We start from the raw sequence: 24,857 nt of genomic DNA, 5'->3' as shown, positions 1-24,857 counted from the left end.
TCTTGATATTCCTTTGAAAAATTGAATATTTTTATGATTCTAATACAAGTAAGATCTTGCTTGGTTTCTTTGGCATACTACTATTTTGTTTTGTGTTGAATATTCAAATGTTCTTATGCAATTTGCAGCCATAGCGTGTTAAGAGAAAGTAATTGACCTTGTTTGTGAATGAATAACATCTACTAAATCAGTACAGCATAAGCTTAAATGATCTCGAGGGGAATCAGTTTACAGATTCTGCTATATTTAAGAAAGCAGCCTTCTTATATGGCTTTATTATATTGCTTTATGTATATATATACAAACATATATAATATGCATATTTTTATATATTTTTGCAATCATATATATATTATATATAAAACAGCTTATTTATTCTTCCATTAGGTCAAATACAAAGAGAGTAACAATTGTTCTGATAACTGGTGGCTTGATGAATTTCATACGCAAACATCTCATACTGCAAAGCATTTTTTTTCCCCAAGCAAGAGTTATATTCACCTCAAACCTATTATTGGTACTTTGACCTGTGGACAAACCCAGGAGATTCAAGCACACTACATTCTGAATAAACAGATTCTCAGGGATGAAAAAGAATTAACCTTCTACTATTTGGTAAGAATAAGACCCACTGTAGCTCCTTCTGATTGTGTAGACTCCAAAATTGCTGGGTTCCTGTCTAAGTAATGCCATTTATAAGATAACAATAATATATTTTGTATTGTTTTTGTGCTAGAAGAGAAGTTACTTCCTAACAAATATTAATGCTTTAATTTCTCATTTATGCTCTATTCACCACTGAAACTTTTAGAATTTTTCCTTGCAGAGTTCCAATGGCAACTTATTGAGCAGGAGAGGAAAGAGCCTAGGATAAAATGTTTTTAGTCAAAGAGAAAATGTTTTCTTAGAACTCAGTAGATAAAGAAGCAAAAGCTAAGAACCATGAACTCATTCAAAAGGAAATAAAACTTATAAACAATCTTCTGGAAAAATATTCAATTCTAATTATTTTACAAAGCTCATGACTGGTGTGATTGCAAGGAAAAGGTATATTAACAGGCAGACTATAAATTGGAGTGATACTTTTGAGGCCAATATTCCCACGAATGCCCCCAAATTGAAAATGTCCAAGGCTCATAGTTACTCAAATAAGTCATTTTAAGAAGAAAAAGTTAAATATAGGGAATTCTGTATAAGAGCATTAACTATAAATAACATTTTCTTAATTCCATAAAAAAATAGAAAAATTAACAATAAATTTGAATTTCCTAGATTTATTGCTTCCTAGATACATGACCTTGGATAACTTACCTAATTTCATCTGGAAAGAGAAATGTCAATCATCTCACTTTAGTCCTGGAGATAATATTAATACCTACTTCATGGAATTATAGTGTAAATTAACAGTAAATTACTTAGTTCAGTTCCTGGCATATAGAGAATGCTCAATACATTTAGTTTTTTTAAAATAGAGGCAATATTAGAGAATACTTATTTATACTTTATATCTGCCTTCACTATATATTGCTTTGCATAAGGTAGATGTTTGAAATGTTTGTTGAAAAAATACATAAATTCTGTTTACATATTTACATATATTTATTAGAAGTGATAAATATTAAATAAAATAATAAAACGTTATACAATTATATATTTTTTATTTAAAGTATGTAAAGACACATATATGAAGATATTGAAAAGGAAGTTTAGTGATCAAAATAACTTCTAGGTTGGGGTAATAAGATTATGGTTCACAAATATATCATGAATGTTTTAAAGTTAGGTTAAAATGTATTCTTTTAAACAATAATGAATATATTTCCTTCTGCCTTCAGATCAAAGCAAGAGGAAAAATCTCCCAATCAGGAATCCATGTGTTATCCATTGAACAAGGAAACAGTAAATGTTTTCAAGATTTCCTTTTTCTTTCCTCTTTCATCTTGTCAAATTCTGAACAATTTAGCAATTTGGAGCTATTCTCACATTAGAAGAAACAGTCACCAACCTCTTCATCCAAAGATGAAGAAGCTGATGTAATAGGATGACATACTGGGTTTGCTTTAGCCCAGTTAAAATTTTTTCTTCTTTTATAGCATTCCTACATTTTAAATTTTATTCCTAAACTAATACATATTCATTTTATGTCTTTAATGTCTTCAAAAGGCAGAAAATAACTGAAAAAATATGGAAAATAACCACAGAAAAATTTTACTTTGTGTGCTTGTGTATGCATTGCCTATTACTACTGTAACAGATTATCACAAATTTATGGGCTTAAAACAATACTTCTAGTTCTTCGTTTTAGTGCCTTAAAACACCACTTGTATCTTCTAGTTCTGGAGGTCAGAAGTCTCACTAGGCTAAACTCAAGGTGTCAGGACTGCATTCCTGCTGGAGCTTGAGGGGAGACTCTTTCCTTGCCTTTTCCAGCTTCTAGAGACCTCTTGCATTCTTTGCTTGCGGTTCCTTTCTCTATCTTCAAATTCAGCCACATACCATCTTCAAATCTCTCTCATCTTCCTGTCTTCCTCCTAGAAAGACCCTTGTGATTACATTGGGCCCACTTGGATAATCCAGAATAAACTTCACACCTCAAGATCCTTAATTTAATCATTTCTGCAAAGGCCCTTTTGCCATATAAAGTAACATATGCAGAAGTTTTGGAAATTGAGTATCTTCAGGGGCCATTATTCTATTTACCACAATCTTCCCATTGGCCCCAGAGATTCATATTCATCCCTCATGCAAAGTGCATTCACTCTATCCATCATAACATTAACATAAGATTAAAAGCTCACAGTCTCATTAGCTCAAAAGTTCCAAATCTCATCATCTCAGTCATCTAAATTAGGTGTTATTGAGGTCCTGGACATAATCCATCCTAGGGCAAAAAGAGTCTTTAGTCCCAAGAAGTGCTGATATCTGGCTAGGAAAACAGCATAGTTTTAACACCTGGGAATAATCCTCTTTAATTCATTTCTCTATTGTCTGGGCTCAAGGATCCACTCATGAAATCATTTGCCCTTTTTCATGAAGGATGTGTTTGCAGCTGAATTGTTTTATCAGATCTCGTTTCCTGCTTGCATGATTTGAGAGGTCTGATATTCTTCTTTTATTCTATACTCTCTCTGTCCCTTTTAGTTGAAGCTGACAATGTTTCTATTAGTATAAACTTTTCAAGAACCATGTAGGTCTCCTGTGTGTCACAGAGATTCATTCCGTTAAACAAAAAGCCTTTTCATTGACATTTGATGGATAATTCTATCTCCAATTTTGGCTTTTGTTGTGATGGGTAAGGGTATCTAAGAGTCATGCACTTAATCTTTTCGAAGAGCCCTTTTTTTGTGGCTAAATTACTCTGACATTTTAATTTTTCTGCAAATCAAGTCTTTAGCAAAAAGTTGTCCAGTCACATCATAGCTTTTTTTCTAGAGCACAATTTCCTGACAGCGAATGTCTTAATTTTACCGATTTTTGCAATTTAGATAAGCTGAGAAATTTCCGAATTATCAAGTCCTAGTTCATTTTTGATGACTACTTCCTCATTCAATTTATTTTTCTCCTCTCCAGTTTTGTTATAAGCAGGAAGAAGGAAGCACTTTTCTATAAAAGCTTTAACACTTTTCTGTAAAAGCTCCTCCCTAAATATCTGAATTCATTAATATTTGGTATTTCTTTTTCTTAAATATTTTGTTGAATTTACCAGTGATCTGGACATAGAATTTTCTTTGTGAGAAGATTTTAAATACAAATTTATTTTCTTTAATGAAGTGCAAGGTAAGTTTGCTACTACTTTAGTTAATTTTTTGGTTGTGTATGTCATTTAAAATCTTGTCTATTTTTCTAAACTGTCTAATTTATTGACATAAAATAGTCCATAATATTGTTTTAAAATATCTGTAATTTCTATAGTGATAGAAGCTCTTTCATTCAAGATACTTATAATTTATGTCTTCTTTTGATCAGTTTGGCTAGAAGTTTCTCAATTGTACTGATCATTTCAAACAACTGGTTTTTGGTTTAATTGATTTTTCTTGTTTTTTTTTTTATTTTTATGTCATTGGTATCCACTGATCTTTATCAATTAAAGATTGATTTTAATTTAGTCTTCTTTTTATACTTTCTTCATGAGGATGTTGGGGTCATTGATTGAGACCTTTCTTCTTTACTAATACAAGTGTTTATTGTTACACATTTTCCTGTTAATAATGCTTTAGTTGCATCGTTTAATATTTACATGTGAAACTTTCATTTTGAATCAGTTCAAGATATTTTCTACTTTCTTTTTTGATTTCTTCTTTGAACCATGAGTTATTCAGAAGTGTGTTATTTAGTTTCTAAATGGGAGATATTTTAGAGATCTTTCTGTTACTGATTTCTAATTTAATGACATTATGATTGTATGACTTTAATTCTTTTAAATTTATGGAGACATTTTATAGCTCAGAAAATATGGTCTATCTTGATAAATGTTAGAATGTGTATTCTGCTGCTATTAAGTGGAGTGTTCTCTGAACGTCATTGAGGTCAACTGGGTTAATAGAGTTTCTCTATCTTAGATCACACTTTTCTTCTTTATTTCTTTGAATCATAAATATCTTTATTTATTTATTTATTTATTTATTTATTTATTTATTTATGTATTTTGAGACGGAGTCTTGCTCTGTCACCCAGGCTGGAGTGCAGTGGCGCGATCTCGGCTCACTGCAAGCTCCGCCTCCCGGGTCCACGCCATTCTCCTCCCTCTGCCTCCCAAGTCCCTGGGACCACAGGCACCCGCCACCACGCCCAGCTAATTTTTTGTATTGTTAGTAGAGATGGGGTTTCACCGTGTCAGCCAGGATGGTCTCCATCTCCTGACTTCGTGATCCGCCCGCCTCGGCCTCCCAAAGTGCTGGGATTACAGGCGTGAGCCACCGTGCCCGGCCTAAGATACCTTTTTAATTAATCACGAATTTAAGTTTGATTTCAAAATATTAATGTTTGTTTGTAATTTTTTGAGTTCCAGATTAGCCTCTTAATAAATTTCCTGTAACTCTACTTCTAGATGAAAACCTTTTTTTCATAGACTTTCTCCCAGTCTTTTTGAGCCAGAAAGAGGCTTCTAAGGTCATGATAAGGATGCAGTACCCACACTCTAAAACGCCACTCACCATAGGTTCTTCTTCGGTCTGTAACATCTCTTAGGTCTATATAATCTCTTACTGATTGTTTTCTTTCTGCTTGAAATAAAGCACAAAATTTGAATACGTTCATTCAAATATGAAACATCGACTCTAAATTTCCATTTAATCCCTGATTTTATGTTATTGGACATTGTATTGATTTTTTTAGAGCAGGTAAGGTTGTCTCTAATAACATATGAAAAAGTCACTGCCTCACAAAGCAGTATCTTCAAAGTTTGTTTCTGCAGTAGAGTTTAAATCCTGTATGGATTGGGTCCTAAGGTGGTGGGATGGGAAGAAGAAGTGTCCCTCTCTTTAAGAAAAAATATACTTCATTTTATTTAATGACAGCTATGTAAATGATTGTTTTGACTTTGTCTTTGACATTTCGGAAACTCAGTGAAAAACTTAAGTACTCTAGTGTAATAACCATTTCATTGCAGCTTCCTAATAAAATTAACTCCTATGTTTAACCCTGCTTCAGAATTCCACATTCATTTGGCTTTCGTCTTACTGTTTCAAATTATTTTGACTCTGCTGTTTCTCTGTATTTTCATGAAAGCTGCCCTCAAATCTTTTATAGATACAGGAAGGGTACAATTTTTAAAGAATAATTTTATGCTACAAAGATCAAACTTAGAACATTTATGAAAATAATCAAGTGGAATGTTACATAAGCTCTATGTAGTTCACACAGAGGACAACCACTGAGATGAACACACAGAATTCTATTATAAAAATCAAAGGCTCACAAGGCTTTTTATGTGATTTGTATCTGTATCCCTGCTGTATTATAAATGGCCTGAAGGAAAAGACTGTTGCATTGTTTATATTGCCCTTACACACACAAGAATTATAACCAAACATGTCTAGAAGTTCTCTTTCTTCTCTCTTGACTCCTTTCTCAATAATATTTTTCAATTTAGAAATAGAGACAAGCATTAAATGTCTTTTTCCTACTTAAACAGAGGAAATGAACAATTAAACCTATATCTTTAAGGGAAAATGTCATTAGCTCAGCATATATTTATTGAACACTACTACCTGCACAGTGGTATAAAGTCTTTTCTTACTTCAGTGTGATCCAAATGTAAATAAAGTCTATAGTTGGAAATGCCTTTTTAAAAAATCAAATTGATAATTCTGTTGCTAATGTGTTATTCTGAACTTGTTCTTCTTTTTAAATTCTCCAGTGAAAGGGGTGTTTTCCTTCTCCTTTCGAGTGGAATCAGACTCTGCTCCTAGTGCTCATCTGCTTGTTTACACTGTTTTACCTAATGGAGAAATTGTTGCAGACACTGACAAGCTTGAGATTGAAAACTGTTTTGCCAACAAGGTGGGTTGTTTTGTTTAAGACTAGTCCTTTTATTCTTCTCCCATTGTGATGTGTGGAAAAGAAGGAAATTAGGAAATTAGGCATACAGTGCTCCTAAAACATTCCTCCCAGCTACTTCTAAAGGCAGGGGGTGATGTCATACTGAGAGGTCTAGTGCTGACATCCAAAACAGGCAACCACAAACACAGTTTTTTAAAAGTCTCTTGTTTTGTTATAAAATTCATATGAATTTCAAAATCAAGTCACCTATAAGCCTTTAATAGTTTTAATTTTAAAATGTTTTGTTACTAATATTTTGATTAAAAATGATGCCTCACAAGGCTGTGCCAATTTTACCCCATCATACACTGGCACACTTCCATGTACCACTACAGACAGCAGTAGGTTGTCATGAGTTTAAACTCAGCTTAATAATACAGAACAGATGAGAAACAGCCTGGACACTTTAAAAATAATGATAGCACAAAAATTTAACATAGGTTCAGATGGCATATTTTTTATTTAAGGAATACAAAGCTGCCATGTGAAGCTCACTGAGATATAAGTATGCTTTATTCCAACAGAACTTGGTGCTGTTTATCTGATTTTCACTACTCTAGCAGCATAATCATAACATTAGCGATCAGATAAGAGCCGCCTACTTCAGATGCCTGTTTTCAAATACACCTGGAAGGATTTTTTTTTTAACATGGGCTTTGTGGAGATTAAAACAAAATGTGTTTATAGCAAGTGAACATTTCTGCCCTGAGATCTATATTTAGGTTGTCTTGTTTTAAATATACAGTGAAATAAGAAAAATACACAGTGTATTCTGATGTAAACCTTTAATTCCACCTTACTAAAGAGTGCTATTAAACCTGGATGGTGTGTCCAAGAAGCTTAGTGTCTGTTCTGTTTGGACTTCTGTGTGTTTCATACCCACTGAGAAGAGACTCCTTCATGCTTCAATACCTTTACTGTTAATGATGGGTAGTTAGTTTGTTGTTAAATCTTGGGAATGGCCAAGTTATGCTCCGGCTTTCAGCACATCTTATTCGTTCTAGCAGTGGGGTCTCTTTCTGGTGGGTCAGTATCCTCTTCACACCCTAGAAATGAGAGAAGCATTATAAAACAGAATTGGCAGAAAAGTAATTTTCTCCCTGGAATCCAGTCTGAAAAACAATTCTGATTTTGCAAAACATATGACAGTCCCTGTGCAACAGTATAAAACTTCACCATAGAAGTAAAAGCCCACGGACATTATATTCAATCACTTCACGTTAAATACCTTTAAAATCATCATTGATCAGAATTGAAGATCAGCTGTAAAAAATAATATGAACAAAGATTCATAAGAAGATTCAGAAGAAAGTTGACTACCACAAAAATTAGAAAAACAGTAGATCTATTAAAATTACAAATTAAGCACCCTAAAAGTTAGACATCTTGGTGGGATGATGAGCAAATAAATAGTGCACTGAGGATGTGAGGAAAGACCCCAAGTCAGACATGCATCCCTGCAAAACGATACATTTAAATTTTTTTCAATCTTTGCTGAGACAGAGAAAAATAGTTTTCTATTCAAACTTCATATACTTATTTCTTCACTTACAACAGATTTGGCATACACATTAAAAATTATGTAATAGTTGGAATCATTTGTTATACTCAACCAGATATAATTATTCATTAAGAATAACATTGGTAGTAATTAATATAATATATGAGGTACAGACTCCTTTGAAATATGCCTTAAAGTTATGTTTTGGTTTTCATATCAGTAAAACATTTTCTATTTTCTAACATGTCCACTTCTTGCTAATAGTGTTTTTAGTTTATTATAATCCCAAATTACCTGTTCTTTTGACATGGACAGTAACTAACATATTTTAATGAACTTAAATTTTCTAAAAATAAAAGCAAATATATTTTAAAGAGATTCTCCATAAGCAATGTTTTCATAGTATATTGAGTTAGAAAGATGAATACTATTGCATCTTGAAGATAAATAATTATTGATTTTTTTCATATATGTCTTATGATAAGTGATTCCAAACTGCTATATTAAATTCAGTAGACCATAAAGCTGGATTGTCATAGTGAAATTTAGCAACCTAAGTCAGATGTTATTTAGCTAAACATACTGATATTTCATTCCAATAAAAATCAGTTTTCAGTCCAAGAATCAAGGAAGTTACCTGATGCTACTACTATATAACTCAGATACTACTCAAGAAATGTCGGTATCAACAGAAGGAACTAATAGATTATCTTGCCAATTAATTTTTTTGGCCAAAGTAGAAGCAAATCTTTGGGAAGATTCTGCACAATTTCCTGTTGTTCTTTATTCACCATTTTTTAAATTGTCTGAACCAATGAACTCTTAGGCTGTATATTAGATATTTATTTTTTTTAAATGGACCAGTAAATCTCCAATCATGATGAACAGTTCCACACTGCTTTAGAATTTCAGGTGACTGAGACTGCCAACTGGAGGAGACTTCTGTTGGCTGGTCTCAGGGGTGGAATGTGATTTTCACATCACCGTGCAAACTGCACACAGTCTTCACATAAACACTGCACAGAGATAGGTCAGTGATAGCAAGGTATGCATCTTTCTTGTACGTGTGTTTTCAATTCTATGCAGCATTTTATTTCTATATGATTAAGTCAATTTATATTTCATCATTTATATAAGGAATGGAAAACCTGAGTTAACTGGAATCAAATTTCCAGGTTGTTCCAGAGACACTGAATTGGTAGTTCCTAGGCTGTTCATCTCTTAATCCTGCTGTAAGATGAATAAAGAGAAAGGAAGTATAGAAAAGGCTACTCTTAGCCTGGAGTAGAAGAAGGGCCGGTTACTGTAATAATTATAAAATGGCTGCTTTAATCATATCCTCTTTACAGGTAAATTTGAGATTCTCCTCAGCTCAGAGCCTGCCAGCCTCAAACACCCGCCTGAAGGTGAGAGCCACCCCCCTCTCCCTTTGTGCCCTCCGTGCTGTAGACCAGAGTGTGCTGCTAATGAAGCCTGAAGCTGAGCTCTCACCTAAATCTGTGAGTCACGTTCCAACCTTGGAGATCATGAAATGCTCACGTGATAAGATCATTTTTGGAAGTTAAAAGTTCCAAAAATGTTTGCAAAAAACAAGTTCTTCAGAGTAACAGGCATAGTGTAATTCCACAACAAGCAGAAACTGCATAAAGTACTTTACATATTTTAACTCATTGTATTCTCTGTTATATTCTCCTTAAGGGAGCAATCTTGCTTACCAAGACAATCTGTGCCATGCCTGGCACAGAATCTTTTTTTTTTTTTAACTTTTATTTTAAGTTCTGGGGTACATGTGCCAGATGTACAGGTTTGTTACATAGGTAAACATTTGCCATGGTGGTTTGCTGCACAGATCAACCCATCACCTAGGTATTAAGCCCAGCATCCTTTAGCTATTCTTCCTGATGCTCTCTCTCCCCCTGCCCCCACCCCAACAGGCCCCAGTGTGTGTTGTTCCCCACCATGTGTTCATGTGTTTTTAGCATTCAGCTCCCACTTATAAGTGAGAACATTCAGTGTTTGATTTTCCGTTCCAGCGTTAGTTTGCTGAGGATAATGGCTGCCAGCTCCATCCATGTCCCTGCAAAGAACATGATCTCATTTTTTATGGCTGCATAGTATTCCATGGTGTATATGTACCTCATTTTCTTTATCCAGTCTATCACTGATGGGCATTTAGGTTGATTCCATGTCCTTGCTATTGTGAATAGTGCTGCAATGAACATTTATAATAGAATGATTTCTATTCCTTTGGGTATATACCCAGTAATGAGATTGCTGGATCAAATGGTATTTCTGCTTCTAGATCTTTGAGGAATCGCCACACTGTTTTCCACAATGGTTGAACTAATTTGCACTCCCACCAACTTTGTAAAAGTGTGCTTTTTCTCCCCAACCTCGCCAGCATCTGTTGTTTCTTGCCTTTTTAATAACCACCATTCTGACTGGTGTGAGATGGTATCTCATTGTGGTTTTGATTTGCATTTCTCTAATGATCAGTAAAATTGAGCTTTTTTTCATCAGTTTGTTGGCTGAATGAATATCTTCTTTTGAGAAGTGTCTGCTCATGTCCTTTGCCCACTTTTTAAGGGGGTTGTTTGTTTTGTTCTTGTAAATTTGTTTAAGTTCCTTGTAGACACTGGATGTTTGATCTTTGTCAAATGAATAGATTGCAAATATTTTCTCTCATTCTGTAGGTTGACTATTCACTCTGATACTCTGTGCAGAAGCCCTTTAGTTTAATGAAGTCCCAAGTGTCAATTTTTTGTTGTTGTTGCAATTGCTTTTGGAGATTTTGTCACAAAATCTTTGCCCATGCCTATGCCCTAAATGGTATTGCCTAGATTTTCTTCTAGGGTTTTTATAGTTTCAAGTTTTACATTTACATCTTTAATCCATCTTGAGTTAATTTTTGTATAAGGTGTAAGAAAGGGGTCCAAGTTTCAATTTTCTGCATATGGCTAGCCAGCACTCCCAGAATCATTTATTAAATAGGGAATCCTTTCCCCGTTGCTTGTTTTTGTCAGGTTTGTTGAAGATGAGATGGTTGTAGATGTGTAGTGTTATTTCTGAGTTCTCTATTCTGTTGCATTGGTCTACGTGTCTGTTCTTGCGCCAGTACCATGCTGTTCTGGTTACTGTAGCCTTGTAGTAAAGTTTGAAGTCAGGTAGCATGATGTCTCCAGCTATGTTCTTTTTGCTTAGGATTGTCTTAGCTATTTGGGCTCTCTTTTGGTTCCACATGATTTTTAAAATAGTTTTTTCTAATTCTGTGAAAGCTGTCAATGGTAGTTTAATGGGAATAGCATTGAATCTATAAATTTCTTTGGGCAATATGGCCAGTTTCACAATATTGATTCTTCCTATTCGTGAGCATGAGATGTTTTTCCATTTGTTTGTGTCCTTCATGAATTCTTGAACAGTGGTTTGCAGTTTTCCTTGAAGAAGTTCTTCACTTCCCTTGTTAGCTGTATTCTCAGGTATTTTATTCTCTTTGTAGCAATTGTGAATGGGAGTTCTTTCATGATTTGGCTCTGCTTGTCTGTTGTTGGTGTATAGGAATGCTAGTGATTTTTGCACCTTGAATTTGTATCCTGAGACTTTGCTAAAGTTGCTTATCAACTTAAGAAGCTTTTGGGCTGAGATGATGGGGTTTTCCAGATATAGGATCATGTCATCTGTCAACAAAGATAATATGACTTCCTCTCTTCCTATTTGAATACCCTTTATTTATTTTGTTTGCCTGATTGCCCTACTCAGAACTTCCAATTCTGTGTTGAATAAGAGTGGTGAGAGAGGGCATCCTGGTCTTGTGCAGGTTTTCCAGGGGAATGCTTCCAGCTTTTGCCCATTCAGTATGATATTGGCTGTGGGTTTGTCATAAAGGGCTCTTATTATTTTGAGGTGTGTTCCTTCAATACCTAGTTCATTGAGAGTTTTAACACAACGGGATGTTGAATTTTATTCTAGGCTTTTTCTGAGTCTATTGAGATAATCATGTGGGTTTGTCTTTAGCTCTGTTTATGTGATGAATTGCATTTCTTGATTTGCATACATTGAACCAACCTTGCATCTCAGGGATGAAGCCAACATAATTGTGGTGGATAAGTTTTTTGATGTGCTGCTGGATTTGGTTTGCCAGCATTTTATGGAGGATTTTTGCTTCGATGTTCATCACGGATGTTGGCCTGAAGTTTTCTTTTTTTGTTGTATCTTTGCCAGGTTTTGGTATCAGGATGATGCTGGCCTTATAAAACGAGTTAGGGAGGAGCCCCTCCTTTTCAATCTTTTAGAATAGTTTCATTAGAAGTGGTATCAGCTCTTCTTTGTACCTCTGGTAACATTCATCTGTAAATTTGTCTAGTCCTGGAATTTTGGTTGGTAGGCTATTTATTAATGCCTCAGTTTCTGAAATCATTATTGGTCTATTCAGAGACTCAACTTCTTCCTGGTTCAGTCTTGGGAGGGTGTATGAGTCCAGGAACTTATCCATTTCTTCTTGATTTTCTAGTTTATGTGCATAGAGGAGTTTATAGTATTCTCTAATGGTTGTTTGCATTTCTGTGGGGTCAATGGTGGATTCATTTATTTTTTGAAGGGTTTTTGTGTCTCCACCTCCTTCAGTTCTTCTCTGATTTTGGTTATTTCTTGGCTTCTGCTAGCTTTGGGGTTTGTTTGCTCTTGGTTCTCTTGTTCCTTTACTTGTGATATTAGTTTGCTGATTTGAGATCTTTCTAGCTTTTTGATGCGGGTGTTTAGTGTTACAAATTTCCCTCTTCACACTGCTTCAGCTGCATCCCAGAGATTCTGTTATGTTGTCTGTTTGTTCTTATTAGTTTCAAAGAGCTTCTTGATTTCTACCTTAATTTCATTATTTACCCAGGAGTCATTCAGGAGCAGGTTATTCCATTTGCATGTCATTGTGTGGTTTTGAGTGAGTTTTTAATCTTGAGTTCTAATTTGATTGCACTGTGGTCTGAGAGACTCTTTGTTATTATTTCAGTTCTTTTGCATTTGTTGAGGAGTGTTTTACTTCCAATTATGTGATCAATTTTAGAGTAAGTGCAATGTGGTGATGAGAAGAATATATATTTTGGGTTTTTTTTTTTTTTTGACAGAGAGTTCTGTAGATATCTATCAGGCCCACTTGATCCAGAGCTGAGTTCAGGTCCTGAATATCTTTGTTAATTTTCTGTCTTGATGATCTGTTTAATATTGTCAGTGGAGTGTTAAAGTCTCCCACTATTATTGTGTGGGCGCCTAAGTCTCTTTGTAATTATCTAAGAACTTGCTTTATGAAGCTGGGTGCTCCTGTATTGGTTGTATATATATTTAGGTAGTTAGCTCTTCTTGTTGAGTTGAACCCTTTACCATTATGTAATGCCCTTCTTTGTCTTTTTTCATCTTTGTTGGTTTAAAGTTTGCTTTATTAGAAACTAGGATTATGACCTATTCTTTTTTTTGTTTCCTATTTGCTTGGTAAATTTTCCACCATTCCTTTATTTTTAGCCTATGTGTGTCTTTACACATGAGGTGGATCTCTTGAAGACAGCATACTGATAGGTCGTGACTCCATCATCTTGCCTAGCACAGAATCTTATGTACAATAGATGATCAACACATTTTTAATGAGTGAGTAAATGAATAATAATTATTTGAGATGGGTATTATTACTTTAATATTATGAATGAAGAAAACACAACCAGGAGACATTAAAAATAGGGTTAGCCTTTCTACAGGAAAGTGAACAAAATAACAAGCTGGTAGGTTAAATTGTTCCAATAATAAACATTCCCTGAGCATATAACCTATTCCACTTGAGAAATAAGGCAACTATAAGAAATTGACGATAAAAACAATACATTTTAAAGGAGGAATTCCATTCTCATTTCTTTTCTTTTAAATCCACTTCCTAACCCACCACTAATATAATTTCAAGAAATTATGCAAAAATTTTATGCCTTTCTTAAAATCCAGACACTCACTCACTGGTTTTAAGTGTGGACAAAAGAGAATTTCCATTCAATGTTGTCTTTAAAAATGTCTCTTGCAATGAAGCAATTTCAGAACAGCCCTATATTTTATTGGCTTCATGGTTCACTTATTTATTTAAGAAATATTTATTGCATCTTGACTATAAGATGGACATTGTTTTGAGACCAGGATTATTAATTATGGACAATCCAGATTTGGTCTTTTACTAGTTTTGATTTATAATCTTGTGAGATATACAAACAAACAAGCAAGCAACAAAAACATATAAACATATAATAATTCCAGATTTTTATAAATACTATGAAAAGAATAAACGGAGTATTGATATCAAGCATAAAGGTGCTGATAAATTTTTGAAATAATTGAGCAATTTTGAAATGTTTACATTGGAGAATAGTGGAGAGGCCAGAGCAAGCTTACAAAAAATGGAAGCAGCATGCCAAAGGTTTTGAGTCAGAATGAATTTGGAGTGTACTGAAAAGGAAAAGGTCATCACCTAATATGTAGCAGTGAGAGGGGAGGATGATAGAGGCTGCAGGTAGGATGGAAAACGGAAGATCATGGCGAGCTCTGTTTACTTGGTGTGGAGTTTGGAGTTGATAGTAAATGCAATGGTAAATCAATGAGGAAATTTACACAGAAGAGTGGACAATTGAGATGAATCTATTAAAAAGATCATATTTGCTGCTAAGAGTATGGGAGCAAGAATGAAAGCACAAGAACAGTTACGAAGTTATTACAGTAGCACAGATGACAAGTGACAGAAGCCACATTAGAAGGTCTGCAGGTGTGTTTAATGGCCTGAACACTGTATAGTAAGGCCACCTGAACCCTGAGCACATGGCCTTAAACTTGGCTCTGGGCAAAACCAAACTGGAATTGAATTATTTCTCAGTTGTCCCTGCACCTAGATTTTTCTTAAGCTAAACTTGGTCCTAATACAGTAGACTAAAAAGAAAACTTGGTACAGCCTTAGTCATATGAAATGGAAAAAGGAAATGAATCAAGTATTTATGGGGATTATTTTAGGTGAGGGGGCTGTGAGAGGCTTTTATTCTTTCATTATGTGCCTCTGCTGTCCACATTTCCTACTTTCTTTTAAAAGTAGGCATTTTTTTTTGTGGGAAATAGAGACGGTTTTATTTTTACTCAACCAAAATGAATTTTGAGATTTTGATCAATTCATTTCATCTCTCTATATATTACTTTCTTTTGCACAACAAAAGAATTAGGATCCATGACCTCTGATATTACTCCATGATTCTCTGTGTTGCTTTTCATAATGTAAGCATGCACATGTTAAATAAACACCATAATCTTTTAAATTTCCTAAGGGACATTATCACATTTTAAAATCTGTTAAAAAGAAAGAGATTTCCTTTGTTCTCTCCATGTTGCAGGTCTATAACTTGCTACCAGTAAAGAGTCCATTTACCTTTAGAGCTGGAGGTCCTGCGGATGAATATGATGAAGAGTGCAACAACGCAAAAGACACAACTCACAGCGGAATCACTTCCACACCGAAGCAAGTCCTGGAGGGGGATGACATTTACAGTATCTTCACGGTAATTTTTTTTCCCCAAAAACATAACAAAAACTGATTTCTACGTGTCTGTTTAGATGGAGAAACAATGGACTTCTAAGCTCTAGGATCTTTTCTCCCCTCCCTCTAACAAAATGATAACTAACAGAAAAATATTGAAATCTCAGAGACAGATAACTCTGTGGACACACAGATGTTCACACATGAACTTCTCTACCACCTTAAATAGAAAGTGGTTTACTTTTAGGCTGCAAACCTTAACCAAATGGATCCCAAAGCTGCTTACCACCATCGTATTCCCCTCTCAGTGACTCTTGGGGATTCCAATATGTAAGAAAACCAAAACAAAATATTTTCCATAATGTGTCTGACACTCTTGGAAAGGTGAGCACCTTGTTGGAGGCCATCATCTCAGTCATTTGCACCATAAACACTTGTTGAATGAGGCGGGGCGCGGTGGCTCACGCCTGTAATCCCAGCACTTTGGGAGGCTGAGGTGGGTGGATCACGAGATCAGGAGATCGAGACCATTCTGGCTAACAAGGTGAAACCCCGTCTCTACTAAAAATATAAAAAAAATTAGCCGGGTGTGGTGGCGGGCGCCTGTAGTCCCAGCTACTCGGGAGGCTGAGGCAGGAGAATGGCGTGAACCCCGGAGGCGGAGCTTGCAGTGAGCCGAGATTGCGCCACTGCTCTCCAGCCTGGGTGACAGAGCGAGACTCTGTCTCAAAGAAAAACAACAAAACAAAACAAAACAAACAAACAAACAAAGAAAACACTTGTTGAATGAATACAGGATTGAATACATAAAATGCAAAACTTCAGTCCTCACAGGGCAGTAAAATTCCAGGAAAATTTGAAGTTGTCTTTCATTAAGAAAAGATTAACAAAACTTGTATTAGAAATGTTAAGATGTCTTAAAAATGTAATTCTTTAGTATTAACTATAACTGAGCAGAATTATCCAGGTCGTGAAATTAAATCTTATCACTATCAAAAAGCACTAAAAACTTTCATCATACCTTCAGGAAAATATGTCGTTCATCTGCTAGAGGTCTACAGCTTAGCTGAAAGCAATTTAAATCTCTCTCTTCTGGACGTTCTGGAATCACAAATCAGATGGTAGAAGGATGAAAAGAATACTTCTTGGTTTATTAACCAGCTGTTTAATCTCTAAATATTTATTTCTGGTTTATTTCTTTCTGTTGCGTACACAACCCTCACTGACAACTGTGTTCAAGAGTCCCACAGTTTCCCAAATACTCTGAGATAAAATAGCAAATAATATTTATCTGTGACTAACATTGAAGAAGGGGGAAGCTGGAAACAGGTGGACTGTAGACAACCGTGGGCATCTGAATGTGGGTTTTAGATGCAGACATTTGAGACGACTAGAAGAAACTGAGAAAAAAGAGGAAAGGACCACAGGAACGAGTTAAGCATAGATATTCAGGAAAAGCCATATCTTCTGGTAAAACATAAACAAAACAGAGTTTACTAAGATTGTAAAGAACAACCTCCGATATGCAAACCTTCAATTTAAAATGACAAGAAACAAGCAAAAAAATGCTCTTTGTAATAAAGCCATAAGGAGAGCTGTTTATATGCATACACAGACATAGATATTTGTTTCATGGGGAAAAAGAAGAGAAGAAAACATCTAAGTCTAAAATATTCAGTTTTATGGATGCAAAAAAGAGTTAAAGAGCATTAGATTATACCAGACAATATTTAGAAATAAGAATCAGAAACGGGTTTGAATTCCCACTCCTATTCACTCAATAGCTTAATGAACTTGACCGTCTATGACTCTGTTTTCATATTTATAAATAGCTCTCCTCATTTTGTGTAATTTTCATGATGAGCGTATGAACTATATGTAACATAATAGTGAAAGTACAATACAAATTCAAGAAACTACTTACAGTCTCAAGATTGGATTGCCGCTATGCTTTAACAATTTTTTTCAGTCCATAGGATTAGATATTTTTACCAACTCAAAAATCCATAAGCCAACTTTGTGTCTACCACGAGGATTGCGTATCAGCATAATAGGAGGTAAAGGTGTGATTTATTTGTCTGACAGAATAGAAGAAAAATGGTGCTTTATTGGGTTGGTTTAAGATGAAAACCTGTTTTTCTAAGTATTGGATCTTGAGACTGCAGCAACTTCTTGGTAAGTTAGCCCCAAATAATACTTTTTCCTCAAATAGAGGATTTTTAAGCAATTATTATTTTCTCTTTGACATCAAAATCAACTAACTTTTTGTTTTTGCTTTTAATAGTCTTGCCATTTTAGATCTTCCTTGTCCATGATGGAGTCAATACCTGAATTAGTCAGAATTAGATTCAATGGCAGTAACAAACAAACTCCCACATCTCAGCGGGTAAGCACCTAACGGTTTGGTTTTTGCTCACACAAAATCTACTTGTGAGTTCAGACACTCTCCAGAACAGCCCCGTGCCAAACAGTGAGTCAGAGAGAACCAGTCTGCTTTCCTCTGGTGACTCTGCCATCGCCAACGTGGCTTTCAAGGTCATACCCATGGGGAAGGAGGTTGCACTTGACTCTTAAAGCCAGGAGTGGGAATGGTATACATCACTTCCGCCCATGTTCCTGCCCTGAATGCAAAGGAGGCTGAGAAATGGGAAGGCTCATGTGGATATTAACTGTCTCTGTCATATCTTCTTATGGAAAGAGAAGGGATTTATGTAATATTGAGCAAAAGAGAGTAATGCAACTTTTGGCAGATACGCTACCTCTGCATAGTCTCTTTGTGTGTTTCAAGTATACCTGGAAATCAGGAAATGTTGCAAAAGGCCTAACTCAAAATTCTTTTCTACTGCCATCAGGCCTAGAGAAATTTTTCTCTGCATGCTTGAATGTCTACCAAATTTACTTTTTAATAAAAAATGAGGATGGCAGTAAAAAGTGTTAAAAAAAAAAAAAGAATAAACACATTTTAATACAGCAGATTCACTGCCTGGGAAGGCAAGGAGTAATGTTCTAATTGAAAACAAAGGAGTCATTAAGGATATTTCCTCACCAGAAAAAAAAAAAAAATCCTGTATAGTGAAAAAAGAACACTGTTTTAAGAACAAAGGGACAATTTTTCATCACACTCCTATCTGCTATGACTATGTGACTTTGGAAATTTGCAGACTCACTTAACCTTTTAGAGGCTCAGTTTCTTTAAATCTGAAGTCAGAATGACAACACCAAACTCACTGAGGTATTGTGACCATAAAATGAAAAAAAAAAAATCATGATTCCTTTAATGGCATGTTTGTTTAAAAAAAAGAAACTGAAAAGCATGATTAATTGACTTTCATTTCACCAAGTGTGTATTTTCTTTCCAACCTAAGAGAAAACAGATCAATGGAAACAAAGGTATGATTCAGAAAACCTGAAAACTCAGAGTACATCGTTACACTTTGACCCCAAATGTTCTGTAATATTCTATGCAAATTTTTCTTTTGGTATTTGTTGCTTATCCTTTTCTTCCTTCTCATTTTCAGTTACAGCACTTTAATCTGTCTGTCATTATTTCATAACTAGATTACTGAAAAACCATTCTAATTTAACTTCCTTGCCTCCAGCTTTTCTTTACCTCTATCTGTCCTGCATACTCTTAAACACTGCTTTTCTCATGTCACTTGTTTCTCAAACATAGTCAATACTTCCAGAATTCATAAGATTATTGCATTTAAGGTTTTGAAAGAGCACATCTAACTCTATTATCTTATATATATATCATATATGTATTTATAATTACACACGTATATAATTATCTTTAAAAAGTGATGCCCCAGAGATCAGAAGATATATTATAGAATAATATTATAATAAAGATATTTAAGATAATGTTAACAATATGTAAAGATTATATATATCTTATATATATGTATATCTTCTGATTTCTGGAATATCAATTTCTTTTTTATCAAGCTAACTAACTCCCACTTAACAGACCTTATTCATTTGTCCTAGCCTTATGTTTTATTATATATTATACCTTCTGTTTACCTAATTATGGGAAACACACCCTGAAAATAGCCATTCTACTCTAGAGGGTAAATTTTTACTATCCCTGTGAAGCACCCTTCCACCTTTGTATATATATTTGCACAGTCCTTTCCTGGGAATAACTCCCCATTCTCCTCCACCTCCCATCCATGAATGATCATCTTAGGTTCCGCTTTGGTAAAGTCTTTTCCGGCCTAACTAAAGTTGATTGTCTTTTCATTCCTGACTCCCTATTGTCTATACTACATACTTTACTGAATCCTGTTGCTTATTGTTTATGTCTCCATATTAATTCAATGTCGAAACAAACAAACAAACAAAAAATCATTCCCGAAATCATCTTGCTTAGCTAATATCCATTCCTCGTTTGATTCTCACTGCAAACAGAAGACATGTGAACACAATTTCAGTGTAAAAGCAATATTTGGTGTATTAAATTACTCTTTATCCTTCCCTTCACCAGTTGAGTAATCATCTTAGAGAGAGCTACATTTGTTTTTTTTTAATCAACTTTTATTTTAGATTCAGGAGGTACATGTACAGGTCATTTGTTTTTATTTATAAAGAAAAATATATTTAGCTCTAGATTCTATTTGAAGAAAAAATAGGATTAGCCTTTTTATAGGAAAGTGAACAAAATAACAAGCTGGTAGGTTAAATTGTTCCAATAATAAACATTCCCTGAGCGTATGACCTTATTCCATTTGAGAAATAAGGCAGCAATAAGAAATTGATGATAAAAATGAGGTTCACACTGAGGCCTGTGTGTTGTCTTCCAGGACCAGGTCTGCGAGGTGTACCCCCAGGAGCCGTAGAAATAATGTACCCAATGATCGAAGAAGAACCTCAGATATTGCAAGTGAAAGAGATAGTCCGGAAGTACTTCCCTGAGACCTGGATCTGGGATTTGGTGGTAGTTGAGTAAGTTGTGTGTTGCCTGGAATTTAGTTTAGGAGAGGGTTTGAATCCTGCTGTATGACTGATGTTATCCTGGATTCCTGATCCTTTTAGTTCTGCTCTGCTCTTTTCTGGTAAATATTTAGGTTTATAGTTCATTTATCTCATAATTAAACAATGCTAATTTTTTTTCTAATTTAGTCTATTGATAACTAAGATAATAGAAAGTAGGATGCTACCAGCCCTCTTAAATAAAGGAAAGGGAAGGGGAGGGGAGGGAGATTGAAAGAAAGAACAAAAGGAAGGAAAGAATGAAAGAAAAGAGGAAGAAATAAAGGGAGGGAGGGAAGGAGGGAGTAAGGGAGGTAGGGAGAAAAAAAACTTTAAACCTCACCAGGAGCACCAACCCTTAGATCAAGTTTAGCATTTACCACACTAGGTTACTGAGTTATCATGTTCTAGGATCAGCCATGCTTTGTGTTAAAAAAAAAAAAAAAAGATTTGCTTATACTCCTCTTCTCTGCTCCTTCACTAGCTCATTAGGTATAAGTGAGCTGGTGACCAGGTCCCTGAAACCATCACAGAGTGGAAGGCCAGCGCATTCTGCTTGTCTGGAACCACAGGGTTTGGCCTCTCTCCTATCGTGTCTCTTCAAGCCTTCCAGCCTTTCTTCCTAGAACTCACCCTTCCTTATTCTGTGGTGCGAGGAGAAGCCTTCACACTCAAAGCCACTGTGTTTAACTGCTTGTCCACCTGCATTCGGGTAAGGACACTTCTCTGGAAGTGAATGAGAATAGAAGATAGTCACCATTCATTACCAGGTCTCCTAGGTAACCCAGGAAATCAGAACTGCATATGATATATCCTAATTTTGGAGCAGACCTGGTACTAAGAGAAAAGGTACCTGACAGGCCCAAGGTGGTAAGGTTATATTCATTCAGGCTCCTATATCTGTGTATTCCTAAATTCAGACATTATGTCCACCTGATTGTTTCATGTTTTTCACTAAACACCTCTTTCTTCTGTTGGCACAAGGCTAAATCCTAAACACTTATCCTAATTCCTGTCAGTTTTTCAATTTTCTTGTTTCAAACACCTAAACTACAAAGTGTCTGATAGAGCTGACCATATTTGCACAGCTTCTCAGCGCCTCTGGACTCATGGACATTGTCCCTCAGTCCATTTACCTGATGCACAGAGCATCTTTTGCAGTATTCATGCTGTTCTGCATCCCTTCATAAACTTGTGGTTGGGTGTGGGGGACAGGTCGTTGTGCAGCTGGAGGTCTCTTCCGCTTTCCTGGCTGTTCCAACAGAGAAGAATGAAGAATCTCACTGTGTCTGTAGAAATGGGCGGAAAACCGTGTCCTGGGTTGTGACTCCGAAGTCACTGGGTGAGTAGTAATGCTATTAGCAAATTCCACTTCGTGTGCTTGGATGATTTGTTTTCTGCACTGACCCCAATACACACTTTTTCTCCTCCTTTAATATTAATCAAGAGGAAGACAACCACTGGATACACTGGGGAAACTGGAAAAGAAGAAACTGTTCAATATAGAATCACCGTTTAACTCTTAAGAACTTTATTCCCCAGGAAAGGTGAATTTCACAGCCACTGCGGAAGCCATGCATTCTCAGGAAGTGTGTGACAATGAGTTGACTGACGTCCCACCACTTGCGCAGAAGGACACTGTAGTCAAGGCCTTACTAGTTGAGGTACGTAAGTCTACTCTCTGTGAGTCTCAGAGCCCTTATTATTTCATACAGTATTATCTAACATGCATCTCACAGTGACATTTAATTCCCAAGAATGTGGATAGATCTACAATCCAATTTTTCACCACCATTTTCTCCTTTGCTTTCAAGTGTTTAATTTTTCTTTTATACATTCAGTATCGCTTTACTTTTTTTTTTTTTTTTTGTCAATATAAAGCCTGAAGGAATAGCAAAGGAGGAAACTTTCAACACGCTGCCCTGTGCATCAGGTAAGTGTAATATATAGAGAAAAATTTCATGTTAAGTGACTTGCCAGAGTATGCAGTTGTGGAATGTCTTTTGGGGGCATGCTTTTCTCTGAGAGAGAGAGAGAAAAAAAAAACAACTCTTACCCTCCTCCAAATCTAAGGACATTTGATGAAAAACATTGTCCTGCCCCACTGGCTGCTCTGAAAAGCCGTCTTTGCATTGTGCGTCGTCAGCCTCCTTGCTCGCCGCAGCCGCCTCCGCCGCCGCGGACTCCGGCAGCTTTATCGCCAGAGTCCCTGAACTGTCGCTTTCTTTTTTATCCCCTGCATCGCGTCACCGGCGTGCCCCACCATGTCAGACGCAGCCGTAGACACCAGCTCCGAAATCACCACCGAGGACTTAAAGGAGAAGAAGGAAGTTGTGGAAGAGGCGGAAAATGGAAGAGACGCCCCTGCTCACGGGAATGCTAATGAGGAAAATGGGGAGCCGGAGGCTGACAACGAGGTAGATGAAGAAGAGGAAGAAGGTGGGGAGGAAGAAGGTGATGGTGAGGAAGAGGATGGAGATGAAGATGAGGGAGCTGAGTCAGCTACGGGCAAGCGGGCAGCTGAAGATGATGAGGATAACGATGTCGATACCCAGAAGCAGAAGACCGACGAGGATGACCAGACGGCAAAAAAGGAAAAGTTAAACTAAAAAAAAAAGGCCGCCGTGACCTATTCACCCTCCACTTCCCGTCTCAGAATCTAAACGTGGTCACCTTCGAGTAGAGGGGCCCGCCCGCCCACCGTGGGCAGTGCCACCCGCAGATGACACGCGCTCTCCACCACCCAACCCAAACCATGAGAATTTGCAACAGGGGAGGGAAAAAGAACCAAAACTTCCAAGGCCCTGCTTTTTTTTTTTCTTAAAAGTAGTTTAAAAAGGAAACTTGTATTTTTTATTTACATTTTATATTTTTGTACATATTGTTAGGGTCGGCCATTTTTAATGATCTCGGATGACCAAACCAGCCTTCGGAGCGTTCTCTGTCCTACTTCTCACTTTACTTGTGGTGTGGCCATGTTCATTATAATCTCAAAGGAGAAAAAAAAAACTTGTAAAAAATGCAAAAATGACAACAGAAAAACCATCTTATTCCGAGCATTCCAGTAACTTTTTTGTGTATGTACTTAGCTGTACTATAAGTAGTTGGTTTGTATGAGATGGTTAAAAAGGCCAAAGATAAAAGGTTTCTTTTTTTTCCTTTTTTGTCTATGAAGTTGCTGTTTATTTTTATTTTTTGGCCTGTTTGATGTATGTGTGAAACAATGTTGTCCAACAATAAACAGGAATTTTATTTTGCTGAGTTGTTCTAGCAAAAAAAAAAAGAAAAAAAAAAGAAAAACATTGTTCTGATGAAAATCACTTGGAATGAGCCTCTTAGGGAAATAAATAGAAAGTACTTTTTAGGATAAATTATTATTATTGTATTTTAAGAATAAAGAAATGGGCATAGAGAAATAAAAGACTTGCTTAAAAGCTTAAAAGCTCTTGCCTAATAATAAGGTCTAAGGCTGTTGACCTCAGGACAGGATTCTTTCTGATACCTCTGTGTTTCTCAAATGTCTTCCTAAACCATGTTCAAAATATTGAAATATCTGTGTGACACTAGTATGATTTACTGTTCAATTGACAGTTTAAATGCACTCATGTTTTTACTTAAACAAGTTATTTTAAGAGGAACTCCAGGTTACTAACTTGTATAGAAAACCAGTATTTTACCAATATCATTAATATAGCAATACAAAAATTACCACTATATTGAAAGAGAAGGGGAAAAGCTAACACTTTTTTAAGTTTATTTAAATTATCATTAAAAACCCAACTCTGTGCCACCTATAATCATCTTGACGATAATGCTCAGTCTGCAGATCTCTCTTCTCTATACGAGGATCCCTTGATAAAATCATCTAGTCAATGGCTTTAATAACAACTATGTACTTGTGTCCAAAACTGTACAACTTTGATCCACACCTTTTTCCTGAACTCAAACTCATGTATTCAACTGCCCACTCTCCACTTACAGGCTTGTAGGTCTCATAGGCATATCAAAATCAGCAAGTTTAAGACTGAGTATCTGCTCGTCCTCACAAACCTGCTCCTCCCTCAATTTCCTTCATCTCAGATGATGAAAAATCCATTCTTCTATTTGCTAGGGAGAAACACTTTGGAGTTCTTTACTACATTCTTTCCCCTATCTTCCCTACCCAATCCATGCACAAATCTAGTCGATTCCACCTTCAAATTGCATCCAGAATCTACCCACTTCTCTCCATCTCTACTATTCTAGTCCTTTCTCTTGCAGGCTCTCAATAGCTTTCTAACTGGTCTCCTGATCATCTCTTCTTGTTCC

The 24,857-nt window shown here is 35.9% G+C and overlaps 1 long non-coding RNA gene, 1 other non-coding gene and 2 pseudogenes across 11 annotated transcripts in view, besides 3 other annotated features; 3 read left to right on the top strand and 1 right to left on the bottom strand.

Moving 5' to 3' along the window:
- The window catches only part of A2MP1 (alpha-2-macroglobulin pseudogene 1), a 45,821-nt pseudogene that overhangs the window by 11,204 nt on the left and 9,760 nt on the right, over positions 1-24,857 (top strand). The window contains exons 9-20 of the transcript NR_199634.1: positions 388-615; positions 1,836-1,899; positions 6,359-6,501; positions 9,391-9,540; positions 15,433-15,597; positions 17,661-17,750; positions 17,860-17,961; positions 20,381-20,522; positions 21,034-21,261; positions 21,765-21,891; positions 22,092-22,213; positions 22,431-22,482. The product of NR_199634.1 is annotated as an alpha-2-macroglobulin pseudogene 1, transcript variant 2 (transcript). The remainder of the gene's footprint in view (positions 1-387; positions 616-1,835; positions 1,900-6,358; positions 6,502-9,390; positions 9,541-15,432; positions 15,598-17,660; positions 17,751-17,859; positions 17,962-20,380; positions 20,523-21,033; positions 21,262-21,764; positions 21,892-22,091; positions 22,214-22,430; positions 22,483-24,857) is intronic.
- LINC00987 (long intergenic non-protein coding RNA 987) lies at positions 244-23,072 on the bottom strand. 9 transcript variants are annotated; one of them, NR_137429.2, is made up of 7 exons: positions 22,606-23,072; positions 21,686-22,027; positions 16,597-16,676; positions 15,468-15,564; positions 7,420-7,586; positions 5,154-5,222; positions 244-2,531 (listed from the first exon to the last, which is right to left on the bottom strand). It is a non-coding gene; the product is annotated as a long intergenic non-protein coding RNA 987 (long non-coding RNA). The 9 variants fall into 9 exon arrangements; NR_137434.2 differs by having other exon boundaries at positions 7,453-7,586; NR_137430.2 differs by having other exon boundaries at positions 5,154-5,219; positions 7,453-7,586.
- Positions 18,011-18,060: a silencer, noted in NCBI's record as "silent region_4224". NCBI's record gives its function as "represses an Ori minimal core promoter by ATAC-STARR-seq in GM12878 lymphoblastoid cells {active_cell/tissue: GM12878}" and the evidence as "EXISTENCE:reporter gene assay evidence [ECO:0000049][PMID:35858748]".
- Positions 18,071-18,120: a silencer, noted in NCBI's record as "silent region_4223". NCBI's record gives its function as "represses an Ori minimal core promoter by ATAC-STARR-seq in GM12878 lymphoblastoid cells {active_cell/tissue: GM12878}" and the evidence as "EXISTENCE:reporter gene assay evidence [ECO:0000049][PMID:35858748]".
- Positions 21,539-22,738: an enhancer, noted in NCBI's record as "BRD4-independent group 4 enhancer chr12:9393003-9394202 (GRCh37/hg19 assembly coordinates)". NCBI's record gives its function as "activates an origin of replication core promoter dependent on BRD2, P300/CBP, MED14 and CDK7 cofactors, and independent of BRD4, by STARR-seq in HCT116 cells {active_cell/tissue: HCT116}" and the evidence as "EXISTENCE:reporter gene assay evidence [ECO:0000049][PMID:35650434]".
- PTMAP4 (prothymosin alpha pseudogene 4) lies at positions 22,649-23,819 on the top strand (annotated as a pseudogene).
- Positions 23,594-23,678, top strand: MIR1244-3 (microRNA 1244-3). The gene has a single exon (NR_036263.1). It is a non-coding gene; the product is annotated as a microRNA 1244-3 (primary transcript).

This window comes from Homo sapiens, chromosome 12 (assembly GCF_000001405.40).
Source record: "Homo sapiens chromosome 12, GRCh38.p14 Primary Assembly".
In the NCBI taxonomy this organism is placed as follows: domain Eukaryota; kingdom Metazoa; phylum Chordata; class Mammalia; order Primates; family Hominidae; genus Homo; species Homo sapiens.
This window is presented reverse-complemented; position numbering and strand designations above follow the sequence as displayed.